Consider the following 17,737-nt stretch of genomic DNA (forward strand, 5'->3'; position numbering starts at 1 on the left):
ATATTTACATAATTTCAAAGTACTTTCCCCCAAAACAATTGTTAATTAAAAAGGAGTAAGTAAGGAGGAACTTTTCAGTAGACAAGCCTGGCAAAGACTACTTTAATCAAGTGATCAAAAGATCATCACCAGTAAAGGGCCAAATCAAAATTGTGTATTATGTGATATAACAAGAAAAGCACAGCATCACTTCTATAATATTTCCACTCAAGATGCTCAACCTAAACCTAATCATAAGGAAACACCAGACAAACCCAAATTGAGGCTTGTAACCTTCAAATGTCAAGGTCATCAAAGTCAAGGAAAGACTGAGAACCTTTCCTAAGGGAGACTAAAGAAACATTAAACTGGCCAGGGGCAGTGGCTCACACCTGTAATCCCAGCACTTCGGGAGGCCGAGGCGGGTGGATCACGAGGTCAGGAGATCGAGACCATCCTGGCTAACACAGTGAAACCCCATCTCTACTAAAAATACAAAAAATTAGCTGGGCGTGGTGGCGGACGCCTGTAGTCCCAGCTACTCAGGAAGCTGAGGCAGGAGAATGGCGTGAACCCGGGAGGCGGAGCTTGCAGTGAGCAGAGATCTTGCCACTGCACTCCAGCCTGGGCGACAGAGCGAGACTCCGTCTCAAAAAAAAAAAAAAAAAAGAAAAGAAAGAAAGAAACATTAAATAAACTAAACGCAATTTGTGATTCTGAACAGAATCCTTTTGCTTTAAAGAACATTACTGGGACAAGTGCCAAAACTGAGAATTAGATGGTAGTACGGTATCAATGTTAATTTCCTCACTTTGATACCACATTGTGGTTGTGCAGGAGAATCACCTTGTTTGCAGTAGTCGACATAGTCGACTGACGTAGTCGAGGTTGAGATCAGTAACTTATTCCCAAATTGTGCAGAAGAAAAAATTATTTGCAGTGCAATTACAACTTTTCTGTAACTTTGATATTGTTTAAAATCTTTCTAAAGCTTTTTTTAAATCTTTAAAAAATACTCAGATTTAATTGGATGTAGGGTGAGAGTCTAGGGTGACTTTCAGGCTTCTAGCATTAGTAAGTGAGTGGGTACAAATGCCCTTCAACAAGACCGTGGATAGAAGGAACAGTTTAGGATTAGGATCGGCGTTTCCATTTTGTTTTGCTAGGTGACTGGCAGTGGGGGTAAAAGGTTGGTCGAGGGGAGGAGGTTAAATTCAATTTGAGATGCCCATGTAGGATGGAGAAACAGCTACGGACAGAGAGCTGAGGACCCAGGTCTGGCACTCGGAAGTCAGGGCCAAAGACACAAGCTGAGAAATGATCAGTCTGTAGGCAATAGGAGAAACCAAGTGTGACTGAGATCTTACTTGGAGAATTTATCATCCACCACATTCCATAAACAATTTGAAATGACTTACAAAAATACTTATAGTTAAAAGATTAAAAATACACATGTAAACCGAGGGTGTAAGGACAAAGGGAAAATAAAAGGAGGAAAGATTATGCCAGGGATTATAATAGCATACAAAAATGCATACCAAAAAAATCCATACAAAAATAATAACATACTAAAATAGTCATGTGTAGTTCACAGAGCTAGAAGGCAAACATAGCCCTAAGGTTCTTGAGAACCAATCCAGGAAGAATGCATAGCAAAAAGGAACCTCTAGATACTGTATCTGAACATCCACCTACCATACAGTATGTGCACCTTTGTTAGCACTTACTAACAGTATAAACCTGACATTTTCTTTATAAAAGGAAACAATAGTATACAGTTTTCTGTATGCTAACAAAATAGGCTTACACTTTTCTACATAAATAAAAACAGTTCTGATGTCCTTTTAGTCATTAAAACACAAATCTATCTATATCCATGAACACTTTCTCTTCATTTACAGGACCTGGAATAAATTAAGAATATTAATAACAGGAACTAACATTTGCATGGGGTTTACATTTTGAATGGTATTTCTATTTACTACACATTATTTCATTATTTTGCCATCTAGTGTGACAGACAATGCAGGTATAGACCTAATTTTACAGATTAGCAAATAGGTTCAGAGAGGTTAAATTACCTATTTAAAATTACATGGTTAATAAGAATTTGGACTGTAACTCCAGTTTTCTGACTCCATGCACCACTCATTCATTTATTCATCCATCCATCCAAATATTCATCAAGCATCTCCCAGAAAACATTGCCCATTCTGCATCGTTGCTGTGAAGATTAAATAAAAGAACATGGGAATGCTTACAAAGTGTGAAGCCTATACAAATGCTAGCCATTTGCAAAGCCATCATCATTAGATTCCCCATTTTAAAGATATTAGACCTTCTTACATTTGGGGGAAGCCAAATATAATATGGAAATTTTAAAAAATGTATGAAATTTGGTTGAGACATATTGGGAAATGCATATTTAAAAGGAGAGGAGAGGAGTGGACTAAGATGAAGCTGGATAGGGAAAGGATGGAGCATGGAAGACCTCATTTGCCCTGCTAATGAGCTTGACTTTAGCTTGGGGTGACAGAGGACCACAGAAAGGTGTTACAAAGGGAATATTGTGGTCTCAGCTGTGTTTTTAAAAGATTGCTGAGATGACAGCATTAAATATGGATGTGAAGGAAAGCATAAAGGCCAGTTAGGAGGCCATGGTAATCAGCTAGGAAAGAGAAGGTGCACGCCTGAGCTAAGTGAGGGTGGCCACTTAACTTTATGCTCATTTTAATCTGCAACGTTACGTTGTCTCTGGTCTCTAAATACTTTAGGGAAACTGAGGTAGGTCAATAAGCCCTTAGAACAAATTTTAGACAACCTAGACAAATATACCATGGACAACTGAAAAACTAAAACAGAATCACCCCTGACATTTTGTTTTGTTACATAGTATAATGACTATTCTTATATTATTCTATTATTCTACAGGGAGCCTACTCTAGTCATTCGTTCATTGTTTGTTTTTAATCTGAATGATTCCCAGTAATTAAAGTTTCTATCAGTTACAGAATTCTCCATAGTGAGATAGAACAGCTGACATCAGATCTCTTATGCTTTAAGCAAAAACTAACACTCATTAACAAGATTACCTATTGTGATTAAATAAATACAAACTGTTTGCAAAGTTTGTAAATGAGTACAACAGCACAAAAGTAAGACTTACCACTCTACACAAACCTTATTTTCTTAACTCTTCAAGCCCATGGAACAGACAAGGCAGTCCCTCATTTTTCACAGCTTCCCATTTCCCCAGTGCATTGCCTAATAAACACCTATACTTCATCTCTGCTGCTTTAGCTTACTCAGTTGTATCTGCTAATAATGCCTAAGCATGCGGAACAAAACAGCAGTACATGAAAGAAAGCCTATGTCCTCCGCTTTACAGTGCTCGGCACCACACAATAGAGTTTCTCATAATGCACTGGGCCATAAAAGTTGTGCATATTGTGAAATCTCAAGATGGCTATCTTTTCGTAATTAATGTTTTGTGGAAAACATCAATAACATTTACAAAAAGCTCTTAAATCTTTAGTAAAGGCTGCAATTAATTTATGAAGCCATGAAAAGTCTACAAAGGGTAATCAGTGATAATACTACGGAAGGGGAGTTTCATCTGGCCTTAAACTGCAAAGTTCATGTCTAATTTGACTAGTAAGAGTCAGACCACATTCTCTTTATCAAACTTGGAAGGGATCTTAAGGTAGTCCAGTCCAATGCCTATTCCTCCCCCAACCCCCTTCCAGGATAAAAATCCCATGTAAGACCCTGACCAGTGCTTATAAGGCCTATTCTGCCATCTCAATTTATTTAAGAAAAATTCTCCTTCAAATATTCAAGTTTCAATTTGGCAGTTAATTTCAGTCTGCAGTTAAAAGGCACTAGCTGTCAGTCAGATCTCTCACCCAGTTCCCTCCTGAAAAGAAAAACTGACAGATCACAGGAGCTTTCTTTTGTAAACCAATTCTGGAACTTTCATGCTTCTTATTTGTTAGGTTAAAGGTTAAATTGCTGACCTGTGCCCTCCTGCTTAGCGGCCTTCCCCTTTTTCTGTAAAGCTTTATTTTGGGGCTGTATTTACATGGATTAGTCCCTTTTCACGCTAAGAAGGAATCTGTTCACAGCCAAAGCCTTAGTTCTGGTTGTACAAAAAGCAGCCACAATTATTCACCACCAGACAATGACCATATTGTGGATTTACAAAAAACCCACCCCAGCCATGGAAAGATCTGTTCTTGCTGCACAAAACAATAGAAGAAAAATCTTATCAAGCATTCAAGAGAAAGCAAACAAAGCAAGCCCACTGTGAACTTGATGAAGATGTCAAGCTCCTTTAAAAAATATATATATAAATCAACAAAGAGGGGTTTTCTTGTAAAGTCTTGGGAGTGAGACTTTTTCTACTCTGAGTTTCCCTTTCTGGTTAAACACAGTTAGGAGCAGCAAGACATTGACAGCCAAGACCAGCAAATGCTGCCATTTTCTAAGCACACTTACAGACACTTTTTTTAAATGCACAACACAAAGAGGCTTTCCTTTCCAAATATGCCCAGTGCAAATGCCAGGCAAATCATTTTAAGCTAGTACCATACTACACAGGCTCTTTCAGCAAAAGCAAAATTCTTGTCCCAACCGCTAAGGAATGAACATAAGCTACTTCCAAGCTCTAACGTACTAATTCCTAATAAAAAAAAATTTTTTTTTAATTCTTAAAGGCCATTGGGTTTAATTAAACACTAGCTCCAACAAGAGTTCTTCATCTGACACCCATAAAGTATATTATATACATTCCATTTCTTTGGGATGGGTTTCAATGATGGTCCCTAGTCACATAAATAAACTTTTAGCAGGAACATTTTATGTTTGTAAGGTGAGGATCTCACAGCTGCTACAAAAGCAAAATCCAGTCCTGAGTCCGGAACACAGCTGTCTAACAAGATATGAGAGCAAATACAAAGAATTTCTCCCACCAAGTCTTTAGGTAGATGGTTTCTATTTTCTTTGAGCTAACATGACCTAAATCCTCCATCAGAAGAATGTTCTTCAAGTAAAATTAAAAAGTAAAACATAGAAGCAAGTATTAAAAGAACCTAAAGATCCATAAATGTGGCTTTTTAAAAAGTAGTGGTGCTTTCATTCACCACAGAGCAAAACACTAACACAAGTTTACACATTTTTGATCTCAGAAAATGGCTCACTTTAAGGTTTCTTATAGATTTTGGACTTAGAAAAAAACATTTCCATCTGTAACATAGTTTATCTTTGGCACAGTCAGCCTCTCTCTGTTCCTCTACCTTCCTTCCCATCCACCACCCCTCACCCCCGAAAAAAGGCAGTACCAAAGATTTGGCCACAGAAGTCCACAAATAAGAGAGTAGTATTAACTGGTCTTATTTTAAAGGAGCTGATTTATATGTATAACAATCAGGAGCTAGTTGATCAAACTATAAAACTCTGATGCAGCCATGAAAAACTGATGAAAATGTTTGTGGTCAACATTAAGATCTTGCTTTCTCTCATTTAAACTGTACCTCAACTGCAAATACATCAAATGGGAATCTTCAAAACTTGAAAATAGGATTGTGATGGAGGTGCTTATATTTTATCTCTTTTTCAAACTTTCTGTAGTATTTGGTCTTTTTTATAGCATTTTTAGCATGGTAATAAGTGCGATGACAATGAGACAATTCTGGCCAATGGCCCTACTTAGAGAACTTTGACAACTACAGAAAATATTTCCATGCATAACCAAGGCACCGTGTCCAGTTTGCTTACTTTGAATTACGAAATGTATGATCCCCAGGAAAATTAGGATGGCACTATGAGGACCAGAACACAAAGTAGGAAGTACTTAAACTCCTCACCAACTTCTAGAAGGAATGAGATTAGGGCACAAGCTACACTCAGAGTTGATTCAAATGTAAATGCTCTGCTTCCTCTCAAACAATGATAAACTCCCTCAGAGTTAATAGTTTCTCCCTAAGAGATTCATCTCTCTTTTCAACTTAAAGGTATGTTTTGGAGAAAAGGAAGAAACACATGGTGGGGCTTAGAGCAAAACCTTTTAAATTCTTTGTCATAAAAGCTGCAGAGTAAACTACATTTCCTTTACTAATCCTTCGAACACTTGTTAAACTCGAGTGTGCTGACAAATTTGCCACTGCAATCACATTTTGGTTTCTAACAAGTTAAAAAAAAAAAAAACAACTTTGGTTGTACTAAATTGTATTACCATCTTCCTTGAACACCAAGTGAGAATTTATGCTGCCTTCGCAAACTGTTGAAAGAGGCACTCCCTAGGGAGAAATAACTTTTGGCACATTGCATAGCAAAGCTAAAGTTACAAAAGCAGGCTAAAATATCTCTTTCACCACACATATATTTTTCTCTCTCTCCCCAAAGCTTAAACATGCTATGTCCTCTATAGGAAGCTGAGTATGGGCACAAGAACTATATCCGAAGATCCTGACTTTAGGTTCATAGTCTGGAAAAGTTTTAAATTAAATATATGAGATTTTTTTTTTAAAGGACTGTTTCCATGTCATTGAAAATATATTAACAAAACTCCATATTGCTTCACTCAAAAAAAAAAAACACACAGAAAATCATTATCGAGAGTTTCAAAGACTCTATAGTCCTCTACACTATGAAAAATAATATAGCTGTCCTTTTGTGCCAAGAAGCTAAAAGAGTGGAAAACAATGATTTGATGTGACAGAAGAAAGAAAACTAACCAGGCACTGTTAATTATTTTATGATTAGTATTTTATTTAATCCTCATGGCAATTCTAAAAGATAAGCATTATCCAAGTTTTATTTGCAAATGAGAAAATTCAACCAAAAAAAGATGAATAATTTCCCCAAGGTCAGATCACTATTAGTTGCAGAGCCATAATTAAAACCCAAGTCCAAAGCTCTTCCTGCTGTATACACACACTGCTTCTGCTAGAGGAGAGGGTGGGGAAACAGCTTTTAGTGACACAAATTCCCATGATTCCAGACCACAGGGCAGTTTCCCAGGGGTGGCAGAAAAAGCCTAAAATGTAAAAAGTACAGGCTGACGCCGAGGCCCGGGGTAAATGCCTCATTGTACTGTGGGAAGTCTGATGGACACTTGGTAAATGGGGAGGAAAAGGCATTCCTCGCCCAGGGAGACGAATGTGAGAGCGCCTTCCTTTAAACTTTTCGTCCTAAGCACGTCTGCTCATAGAAAAGGCAGAATAACATCTTCCAGAAAAATCGCGGGAGAGAAAACTGCAGCAGAACTCCTGCCGCTAATATAAATGCCCTCCCCCTAGACCTACCCATGAATTTCCATTAAAAAAACAATACAGCAAATGGAGTAGCCATTCAACCTACTGGAAATGAGATATTTATCAACAATAAAACTGTGGAGATGAATCAAAATATCTAGGTTCTCTGCAATCAGTTGGAATTGTGTCAACTCATTTATTGGTCCAACAAATACACACTGAGTGCCTACTACATTCCAGTCACTGTTCTAGGTGCTGGGGACACATCAGTGAACCAAGTAAATGATCCTTGCCCTCTTGGAGCTGATATTCTTAGACTGAGCATGACTGTACAGGGTCCCTACATACTAATCAGAACCTGAGTCATATTTTTGATTAATAAAAAGAAAATTAAATATCCCTCCATAGCTTTGCAGATGCTCTTCCTTCTGCTGGAATGTCCTCACCCATCCCCAGCACCTTTCGCATTTATAATAAATATTGCTGAATAAACTGTGTAATTAAAAAAAAGCTTTCAAAACAAGAAGTGAAAAATGTAGCAGTGGTCAGCTCTAAATCTAAATCTCAACTTCAATTGGGTCTAGACCTGAGCTTTGATCCTGCAGCAGGCCCCACGAAGCCTAAATAAAACCCAAGTCAACTCAATTTCCATTCAGCAAAAACAAGAGAAATTAGGTCAGCTTGTTCCAGGGTCCACCCCAGGGATTAAGAACTTTTTTAAAGCCTAAACTGGACTTGCTGGGGCTGTTAGAGGTAAGAAAGAAACCTAAAGCAGCATTCCCAAGGCCCTGGGCCTGGAACTGCCTTAGGACTGGTCCCAGGGCCCCTCCACCATGTGTGCAGAATGAGAAGGCTCAGAATGAGGAGGACAGGATCAGGGGATGTCCCCCCAGGGCAGACTCCTGATGATCCTCAATTTCCAGTTTGAAGGATCAAAACAAATTTCATGTTTTTCTTCATGATAGTTCAAACTGAGAGAAACTCTGTGCCATGCCCTGTGCTTAATTCTTTAAATACTGTGTTTCTGAATCCTCAAATGTGATGATAATATGAGATATTATCATCATCCCCATTTATCCCCATTTTACAGCATAGGGAACTAAAACAAGGAAGGAAATTAAGTAATTTGCCCAAAATTACACAGGGATATGTCCTAAGTAGGGGAGCCAGAATTTTGACCCACATGACCTGACTCTAGAAACCATCCTCTAAACCAAATTTCTCTAACTATATTTTGGGGGCATTTTGGGGGGATGTATTTCCGTTAACCAAAATACTAGAAAGAGGAAATGAATGTTCCACTTAGCACTTAGCTGATTTTCTACTTCCTGGACGGCCATGATGAAAATATTTTTCATTTTGGTCTGTGTATAAAATCTTTCCCAAATACTTTTGTCACTTTTCCTTTCATGGTAAGCACAACCTAACAAACCAATGGAAAATGTGCTTTATGTTCAAGAAGTCAATTCTATCATTCTGAGTATCAGGATCATTACTGCGAGGACAGAAAACTGGGCTAAATACACACAAACTTTAGACCATATTCCAGAAATGGGTTGTTTTAATACATTTCTAATCCTAGCTTATTTTCTCAGCATCTGGCTCTTTCTCACAAGTAGACAGTTTAAATAAAAACTCTGGTAGCTGAGGATTGATCACTGGGTTCTTGTTAAACTGTGACACATAAGTGGAAGAAAAAAATATATAGGTTGAATTATTCATGTGCCCAAAGTGTGTTTTTCTGGGAACAACTCAGAATTAATTCTACATTTTCTGAAAAAGAAAATTAGTCAGTTCAGGCAGTGTTCTTTTTATCAAGTTGTCATATCTTTCATATAGTAATAATGACTATCATTCTAATATTTGAATCCCTTCAAAAAGGAATTTACATAAATTCTATCACAAAAATTTCATTTCTTAATGATAGCACAATTTCCGGAAGTTGTGTTGTTTGATTTTGGTTTGGAGTTTAGGGTTTTTATGTTTTTAATTTAAGGGTGACGTTAAATTACATCACCACAAGAATGCTGGTTTGTACCACTTCCTGTGCTGAGCATTTTAGTACATATTATCTCTAATTTACAAAACAACCTGCCAAGTAGATAGAAGTCCCACTTAAACAATGGGCAAACCAGAATTTAGTTTAAATAGCTTTCCCAAAGTCAAACAATTAATGAGTGGCAAAAGAAATCTGAACCTAAGTCTGTTTGATTTCAAAGTCTACAGACTGGCCATTATACTGTTTTTATTACAAATTATTCAAAGATAATTAAGGACATTGTTATAATCTAGACAGCAATTTATCTGCATCTATCTTCTCCTCAAATAAGGCTTCGTGATAGCAGAAAATTCTAATGTCTAAGAACATATTAAAGGTAAGAAAACTGTCTTTAAATTGAGCAACTTATTAAAGTCTTCTGCTGGGCAAAGCAAGCTCACAGTGATATCTTCAGTAAAGCTTTCTTTTTCTAAAGAAAGCCTTTGAGCGGACTGCATGTTTTCAATGTAACATAAAGAAGGAAATGCAAAATGTGTTGTGAAATAATACCAACAGAAGTTCAAAAGCTAGAATGTAACTTCCTAAAGGTTTTTTTAAAAAAAGTCTTCTAAGCATTTAAAACATGAGGTCTAGTTCCTGTTTTATAGGGTGAACGTTCCACTCTCTACAGAGTCTAGCACAGTCTAAAGTGAACACTCAAAGAATAGGTGATTAATGATTTAGAAGTGTGATAATAAGACCTCGGGCATGTAGACTCCTGGGGAAATCAGTCTTACATGGCAGTTTTCAAGAAACCTGAAGATCGGTATTTTTAAGCATTAAAACTTGATTTAAATCATTTTAGTTATAAATGTTTCCAAGCTTCATTATTATCTCACTGCTTTTTTGGAAAGAATATTTTGAATCAAACATTTTCTTGATGGCTGCAGTAGACATCTGTTTTGGCGGCCCAGCATCCGTTCTCCCTTCCTCCAGTAATAGCACCAGATTTTCCTCTGAGGAACCACCCTGCCCCATTCTCAGGCTATAGGATCCAGGTGGTCCTGAACAGCTCCCCCAGTTCTCCCCCTGCTCCCCCAACACACTCCCTTATCCTCCAATCAACAACTCAAAAGTCATGGTTATTGGTTCATGAATGGGTACGTGATCCAAACAGGGCCTACTAGAGTCAGCCTTGGGACTATGGCTCAAGATACTGTAAGACACTCTTTTTCTATTTGGGTGTTAAACTGATGGAACATAAGCTTGGATTTATTCATAACCATCTTTGCCACTTTATAGGGAGCACCTGCCCAGAAATGAACCCAACACAGAAGACAGAGAATCAAGAGATAGGGAAAATTTCTGAAAATATGAGTAGAAAACCTAGATTCAGCAAAACCTAAAGCCAGTTTTACCACTGGACTTCTCAGTGTTAAGAGCCAGTAAATTCCCTTTGTTGTTCAAGTCGGATTTCACTGGGTTTCTGTCACTTCCAGTGAAAAGGATCCTGACTGATGCAATGATTGATGTCATTGACACGATCAGTAACTGCTGAGCAATATTGCACAGAGAAATCTTCCCGGCATACTGAAGCACTCAGGGCATAAGCTGAGGGCTTTTCTGTGATTAAAGAACTTAAGTTTTAATGGATAGACTCTGAGAAATCTACTTTGTCTAGTTACTTTTACTTTCTGTTTTTCAGTTATGTCAATTTGATAACAGTTGCTGAGTAGCAGAGTTCCACACAGATATAAACTCTTGCTTTAAACAAAAGTAAGTTAAAATAACAGCTCCCATTTATAAAGAACTTTCCATGTCCCATGCATGGTGCACTCCCATTTAATCTTTCAACTAAAACAGGTACTATTAGTGCCCCATTTTAGAGTTGAGAAAATGAGGCTCTGAGATTGGCATGTGGAGGGAATTTTAAAAATTCAACAAACTCACTGCTCAAAAGGATTTCAAAGTTTAGTAAATCAATGAATTCCCGGTCCACCATAGAAGGCCTGAGGCCTAATACTGTGAACCACTAACACAGCAAGAAGAACCACAGTGTCATGAATAAAGCAAAAATTCTAAGGCTCCCCTATATCATAATTTATACCCAGATGGCCCCTAAATTGCGCACTTTAGGAAAAAGAAGAAATCTGGGATCTGCTTCAAATAACTAAGCATTAAGAAAAGAAAATATATGGCTCACTTTGTTACTTCCTAAGAACAGCAATTCAAACTCATTCTATATAACCAATTTAGAGCATCACCATAGTATATAAAAAGCACAAGCTTCAAGCAGGGATATACAATTAACGTAAAATTCAAAATGTGATCTCAGTAGAGAAAGGCAAATTGAGAGAGGCATAAATGGAGTACTCAAAGATACAAAATGTTCTGTTTTCTAAGTTGAGTGGTGGATATGTGCATTTTCATTTATTCTTTAAACTGTATACATACATATGCATTATATAATTTGTGTGATAGCTTTCATAAATTTCTTTAAAGAATACAGTCACACTAGAATTCAAATCCCAACTCTGTCACTCTGTTCTTTGGACAAGTTGCTTCCTAGCTCTAAGATTTAATCATTAAATACTTGAGGGCCTAATGTATGCCAGGCACTCTTCTAGCTACCAAAGCATACAAGTGCAAGCAAGACATAATCTCTGCGCTCATGGAGCCCTCTTTTTCTTACCTATATAATTAGAATAATATTTCTTACTTCATTAGGTGGTGGGCAAGAATTTTATTATAATGAGCTCTCATTAGGCTCACCTCCAGTTTAAAGAAATAATCATTATTACAGCAATCTTGAGAAAAAGAGACAAAGCATATTACAAGCTCATAGTGATATCTTGAGTAAAGCTTTCTTTTTCTAAACAAGTCAGCTATCCCTGACTTTAAAATCAGTTGAAAAAAGCACAGTTAGATGAATTTCCACATCTCTATCCCAAACAAGACTTTTTCTAACTAGCATGTCAAGTACTCAGAGCCAGGAAAATTTACAAAAATGTTTTTAACAATCCATGTCTTTTGAGTGAGTGGCAATTTGTCCCAACTATAGTATCAAGAATCAGGGTCCAGGCCAGGTGCGGTGGCTCATGCCTATAATCCCAACACTTTGGGAGGCTGAGGTGGGAGGATCTCTTGAGCCCAGGAGTTCGTGACCAGCCTGGGCAACATGGCAAGACCCTATCTCTACAAAAATTAGCTGAGTGTGGTGGTGTGCACCTGTAGTCCCAGCTACTGGGGAGGCTGAGGTGGGAGGATCACCTAAGTCTGGAAGGTCAAAGCTGCAGTGAACCATGATCACGCCATTGAAACTGTTATGTAAGAGTGCCTGGGTGATGAGAGCAAGACCCTGTCTCAAAAAAAAAAAAAAAAAAAAAGAATCAGGGCCCAGCCCTAACACTCCATAAGATGGATTCACTTTCACTGGAAAATGCAAGATAAAAAAAATATAGAATAGCTGAAGTAATCGTGCTGACTTAACAGACAAATATAAGAATCCCTTGTATAGTTCATGAATAAAACCACATATCCCCTGATTTTCTGTACAATCCTGATTTATCTGCCCCCACATTAACCTTATCTGACTGTTCTAACCACTGCACATACAGGTAATATTAATCAGCTTTTTTTTTTTTTTTCTGAGATGGAGTCTCACTCTGCCGCCCCGGCTGGAATACAGTGATGTGATCGCGGCTCACTGCAACCTCCACCTCCCAGGTTCAAGCCATTTTCCTGCCTCAGCCTCCTAAGTAGCTGAGATTACAAGTGCCCGCCACCATGCCCGGCTAATTTTTTTTTTTTTTTTTTTGAGACGGAGTCTTGCTTTGTTGCCAGGCTGGAGTGCAGTGGCGTGATCTGGGTTCACTGCAATCTCTGCCTCCCAGGTTCAAGCGATTCTCCTGCCTCAGCCTCCTGAGTAGCTTGAATTACAGGTGCATGCCACCACACCCAGCTGATTTTTGTATTTTTAGTAGAGACGGGGTTTCACCATGTTGACCAGGATGGTCTCGATCTCCTGACCTCGTGATCCGCCCACCTCAGCCTCCCAAAGTGCTGGGATTATAGGTGTGAACCACCGTGGCTGGCCTCACCAGCTATTTTTTCATGGTTCTACGACTTTGTGGTTGTCCAACCTGGGCAAGTAAACCTCTTTGAGTCTCAGTTTCCTCAAACATAAGAGCCATCTTTAGAGAATTGTTCGAGCTTTAAGAAAGTAATATTAAGAAAAGTGCCTGGGGCATAATAAGGACTCAAGGAAAGTTAGCTATTCTATTGCCATTCTTCAAGCTTGCTGTCATTCACTGTCATTATTACTGAAAAAAAATAAGATGAATTTAATTAATATCTCTCTAGAACATTTTAATCTGGAATAAAATTTGACTCTCAAAAGAGCTCCCCCCGCCATACCACTTCTCAGGAGACAACAAGTTGTTTTTAATCTTATTATTATTATTGAGACAGGGTCTAGGTCTGTTGCCTGGGCTATAGTGCAGTGGCACAATCTTGGTTCACTGCAACATCTACCTCCTGGACTCAAGTGATCTCACACCTCAGCCTTCTGAGTAGCTAGGACCACAGGCATGCACCACCATACCCAGCTATGTTTTTGTATGTTTAGTAAAGACAGGGTTTCATCATGTTGCCCAGGCTGGTCTTAAACTCCTGAGCTCCAGCAATCCACCTGCCTCAGCCTCCCAAAGTGCTAGGATTACAGGCGTGAGACACTACACCCAGCCAGCATCATGTTTTTTAAATCAGCTTTTTAAAAATGTCTAATAATTTTGAGTATCCATTGTGATCACAGATATTCAGGTGAAGCTCCTAGACCACAATTTACAGTCCTGTAAAATGAAAGTTAAACTTCAGAATAACAAATCTGGCTCTCAATATTTTAAGTCAGCAAAAACTCAGTTTTCTTCATGATACTGCTAATATAGAAATGTGTATAGTTAGTTAAGAGATTCTAAGCAAAGATTTTTTTTTATGTTGCTGCTTAACACCCACGTATCTGAGAAACTCAGCAACCAAAGCACCATGTCTTAGGCATGCCTTTCAGAGTTCCCCGACAGTTTCTCAACCTAACCACCCCATTCTTTTTAAAAAGTGGCCATTGGGCTAATGCACTGAAAATGCTGGGGGTTGGGGTAGGGGGATGTGGGGTAGACACAGGAGGAAGCTGGTCTGCCAAGCATTTCTGAAGAACCTGATGCTGCCAGTCTCCCAGTGCTAAGCATCTGCCCAAGAAGAGTGCCCGCTGCAGGCTAAGATGCCAGCTGTAATGAGACACTTGTGTTTGAAATGCATTCCAGAGTTTTTGTGTGGCCAGTGTCATCTGATCATGGGACCTTGCAGGCTGATCTCTCTTACAAGAGCACCCTCTTCCGAGACCTTTGGTCGCACAGACTGAATTCAGACTTCAGAGTTTTTGCAATTTGAGCTAACTGTCTTGATTTTCTGGGATCCCTATGTAAAGGTAGGTTCTTAAACCAATACACCAATTGGAGTCACAAAATGAAGTGTGGCAAAAAAAAATAAGCATACAAAAATTAAGAACAAAGTAGATCAAAGATCTCCTCAAAATGATATGACTTTTTTTAAGCATTTAAATTACATACATAAACTGACAAGCATTATACACAAAGATGTTCACTACATCATTTATAACAAGAGAACTTTGGAAACAACCTGAAGATTCCGTTATAAGTAAATGTAGAACATAAACATGATGTAATAATTCATAGCAACTAAAATGATTTCTGCAAATCAACATTAATAATTTTAGGGAAAGCTTAATGAATAATTGGAGAGAGTGAGGAAAACACATATAGCTGAGAGTTCAGAAAAAAAGTTTTTATATTTTATTTACACACACATTCACACACACAAAAGAAGACAATAAGGAAGTAAATATACTGAAACATTAACAGTAGTTATTGAGTGATAATTTTTCTCTTGTTCATCATTTTCCAAGAAGTTTAAAATTTTACATACTCAAGAACTAATCAGAAAACAAGCTATTAAAAATTTAAAGACAAATGGAAAAAAACACACACACCAGGATAATCTGTCAGTATGCACTAAATAACAAGAAAAATTTGAGTATATGTACTTTAATTTACAATGAAAATATAACATACCACAGTATAAGAAAAATTGTAAGAATGAAACTCCCACAGAAGTTTATAGAACAAAATGTATACTAAATCCTCCAATTAAAGACCCATAAAGTAGTTTCAGTGCTTTCTAACCCACCTTCTCACAGCAGGGAATTAATCCCTCTAGGGGGATGCAAACAAACTTCAAAGGGAAGATTATGCCCAGACACTAGTACTGTACAGCGTAAGGTTTATATCTAAGTTTTTCAGATACTTTGGCACAGATCAGAGATGCAGATCCTAGGAACAAAGACTAATCTTAAAGCAGATTCTTTGTAATCATCTAAAATGGCAAAAATAATGCATTAAATATTAGAAAAAGGCAAACATAAGTTGTATTAAAAACAAATAAAGCTGTAGAAACCGACAAAGGTACCTGAAATCAAATATTAAGTGACAGTTTATTCACTGGTAACTAGTAACTAGAAAATCTTATGAATTCCTAAAATATGGAGTTCAGCTTGTGTACTCAAATTTTATTTGTACAATCTTTGGAAAGTGTTCCAATTCAGTGTTAGGGGTCTTAATGCAATTTCTAAGTAGAACTGACAGATCACATGCCCTTCCACAGATGTCATGAGATGCTCTTCAGAGCACAGAACACATGAGGGACAGTTTACAATACATGACTTCACTAGTGTAGACATTAAAAGCAATCAATGGAAAAAAGAACTGTCCTCAAAGTTTACCCTTTATCACCTCACATCTTTTTATCATTAGGTAATGTTTTAGGTATGGTTTGAAGTACCTGATCACTTTATAAAATGTTTTAAGTACAGACATAGCATATTGTAGTAAATAAGTTTTATTTAGTTTCCCAATTTTTAAAAATCACCGATGAGGAATCAAATTTAGAGGTTAACTTTTCTGAATATTAATCATCCAATAGAAAACTAATATCCTTAGTAAAGACTTAGATGTAAAAGGCAAAATTATCTATCTCTCTTTTTTTTTTTTTGAGACGGAGTCTCACTCTGTCACCCAGGCTGGAGTGCAGTGGCACAATCTCAGCTCACTGCAAGCTCCGCCTCCCAGGTTCAAGCGATCCTCCTGCCTCAGCCACCCGAGCAGCTGGGACTACAGGCATGCACCACCATGCCTGGCTAGTTTTTGTATTTTTAATAGAGACGGGGTTTTACCATGTTGACTAGGCTGGTCTCGAACTCTTGACCTTGTGATCCGCCCACCTTGACCTCTCAAAGTGCTGGGATTACAGGCGTAAGCCACTGCACCCGGCCCTATCTATCCCTTAAAAGAAAATATTGGGCCTGGAGAGGTGGCTCACATCCATAATCCCAACACTTTGGAGTCTGAAGTGGGAGGATCGCTTGATCCAGGAGTTTGATATCAGCCTGGGCAACAAAGTAAGAGCCCATCTCTACATAAAATTTAAAAAGTAAAAAAAAAAAAAAAACGAAAAAAAGGAAATATTGGAAAATATCTTTGTAGAGTAGGAAAATATTGATAAATTATACCATATTAAAACCAAGAAGTTTTGGTCAAAGATACAAAGACAAACCATAGAAGATATCTATAACACATATAACCAGATAATTAATATCTATAGTATATAAACAATTTCTTATAAACCAATGAGGAAAAGGTAGAAAACTCAATTTTAAAAATGAGCAAGTAGCCTGAATGAGTACTTTATAAAAGATATTCACGAGGCCAATAAGCCTATACCAGCTACTAAGGAGGCTAGTACCATCTACTAAGGAGGCTAAGGTGGGAGGAACACTTGAGCCCAGGAGTTCGAGGCTGCAATGAACTATGATCACGCCACTGCACTTCAGCTGGGCAAAGGAGCAAGACTTTGTCTCTAACTAATAAACAAACAAATAAGTAAGAAGCCAGTAAGCATATAAGAAGGGGTTCAATCTCATTAGTCTTCAACAAAAAGCAAATAAAAAACAACAAGGAGATACTACTATATAACCATCAGGTTGGCAAAAGTCAAATCTAACTGTACCAAGGGCTGATGAAGTTGTAGAGCAGTAAGTGTAGACTACCAAACACTGCAGGTGGGAGTACAGACTGGCACAATCCATTTTGTAAAAGTATGGCATGATTCAGTAATCAAGTATGTTCTATATGGAAATGTATGTTTACATGTGCCAGGATTCATACGTAGGAAAGGTCACAGTAGCATGGCTTATAGTAGCCAAAAACTGCGAACAACTTCAAAGGTCAACAGTAGAATGGATAACTAAATTCTGAAATAATTCTATAGTACACTACACAGCAATGAAAATCTATGACTGCAGTTACACACAACACGGAAGACCCTTTCAAACATAATTGAGCAAAAAAGCAGCAGAGCTACATACAGAATAATTCCATTTCTATAAAATTCAGAAGGC

General features: G+C 37.8%; 1 protein-coding gene across 28 annotated transcripts in view, besides 2 other annotated features; it reads right to left on the reverse strand.

Annotated features, from left to right (window-relative positions):
- The window catches only part of DENND1A (DENN domain containing 1A), a 550,469-nt gene that overhangs the window by 477,771 nt on the left and 54,961 nt on the right, over window positions 1-17,737 (reverse strand). The window lies entirely within an intron of this gene.
- Window positions 5,441-5,983: an enhancer, noted in NCBI's record as "OCT4-NANOG-H3K27ac hESC enhancer chr9:126625148-126625690 (GRCh37/hg19 assembly coordinates)". NCBI's record gives its function as "activates a minimal SCP1, AML or CMV promoter by ChIP-STARR-seq in naive and primed H9 embryonic stem cells {active_cell/tissue: H9 hESC(naive and primed)}" and the evidence as "EXISTENCE:reporter gene assay evidence [ECO:0000049][PMID:30033119]".
- Window positions 5,984-6,525: an enhancer, noted in NCBI's record as "OCT4-NANOG-H3K27ac hESC enhancer chr9:126625691-126626232 (GRCh37/hg19 assembly coordinates)". NCBI's record gives its function as "activates a minimal SCP1, AML or CMV promoter by ChIP-STARR-seq in primed H9 embryonic stem cells {active_cell/tissue: H9 hESC(primed)}" and the evidence as "EXISTENCE:reporter gene assay evidence [ECO:0000049][PMID:30033119]".

The sequence above is a fragment of the Homo sapiens genome, chromosome 9, assembly GCF_000001405.40.
Source record: "Homo sapiens chromosome 9, GRCh38.p14 Primary Assembly".
NCBI lineage: Eukaryota > Metazoa > Chordata > Mammalia > Primates > Hominidae > Homo > Homo sapiens.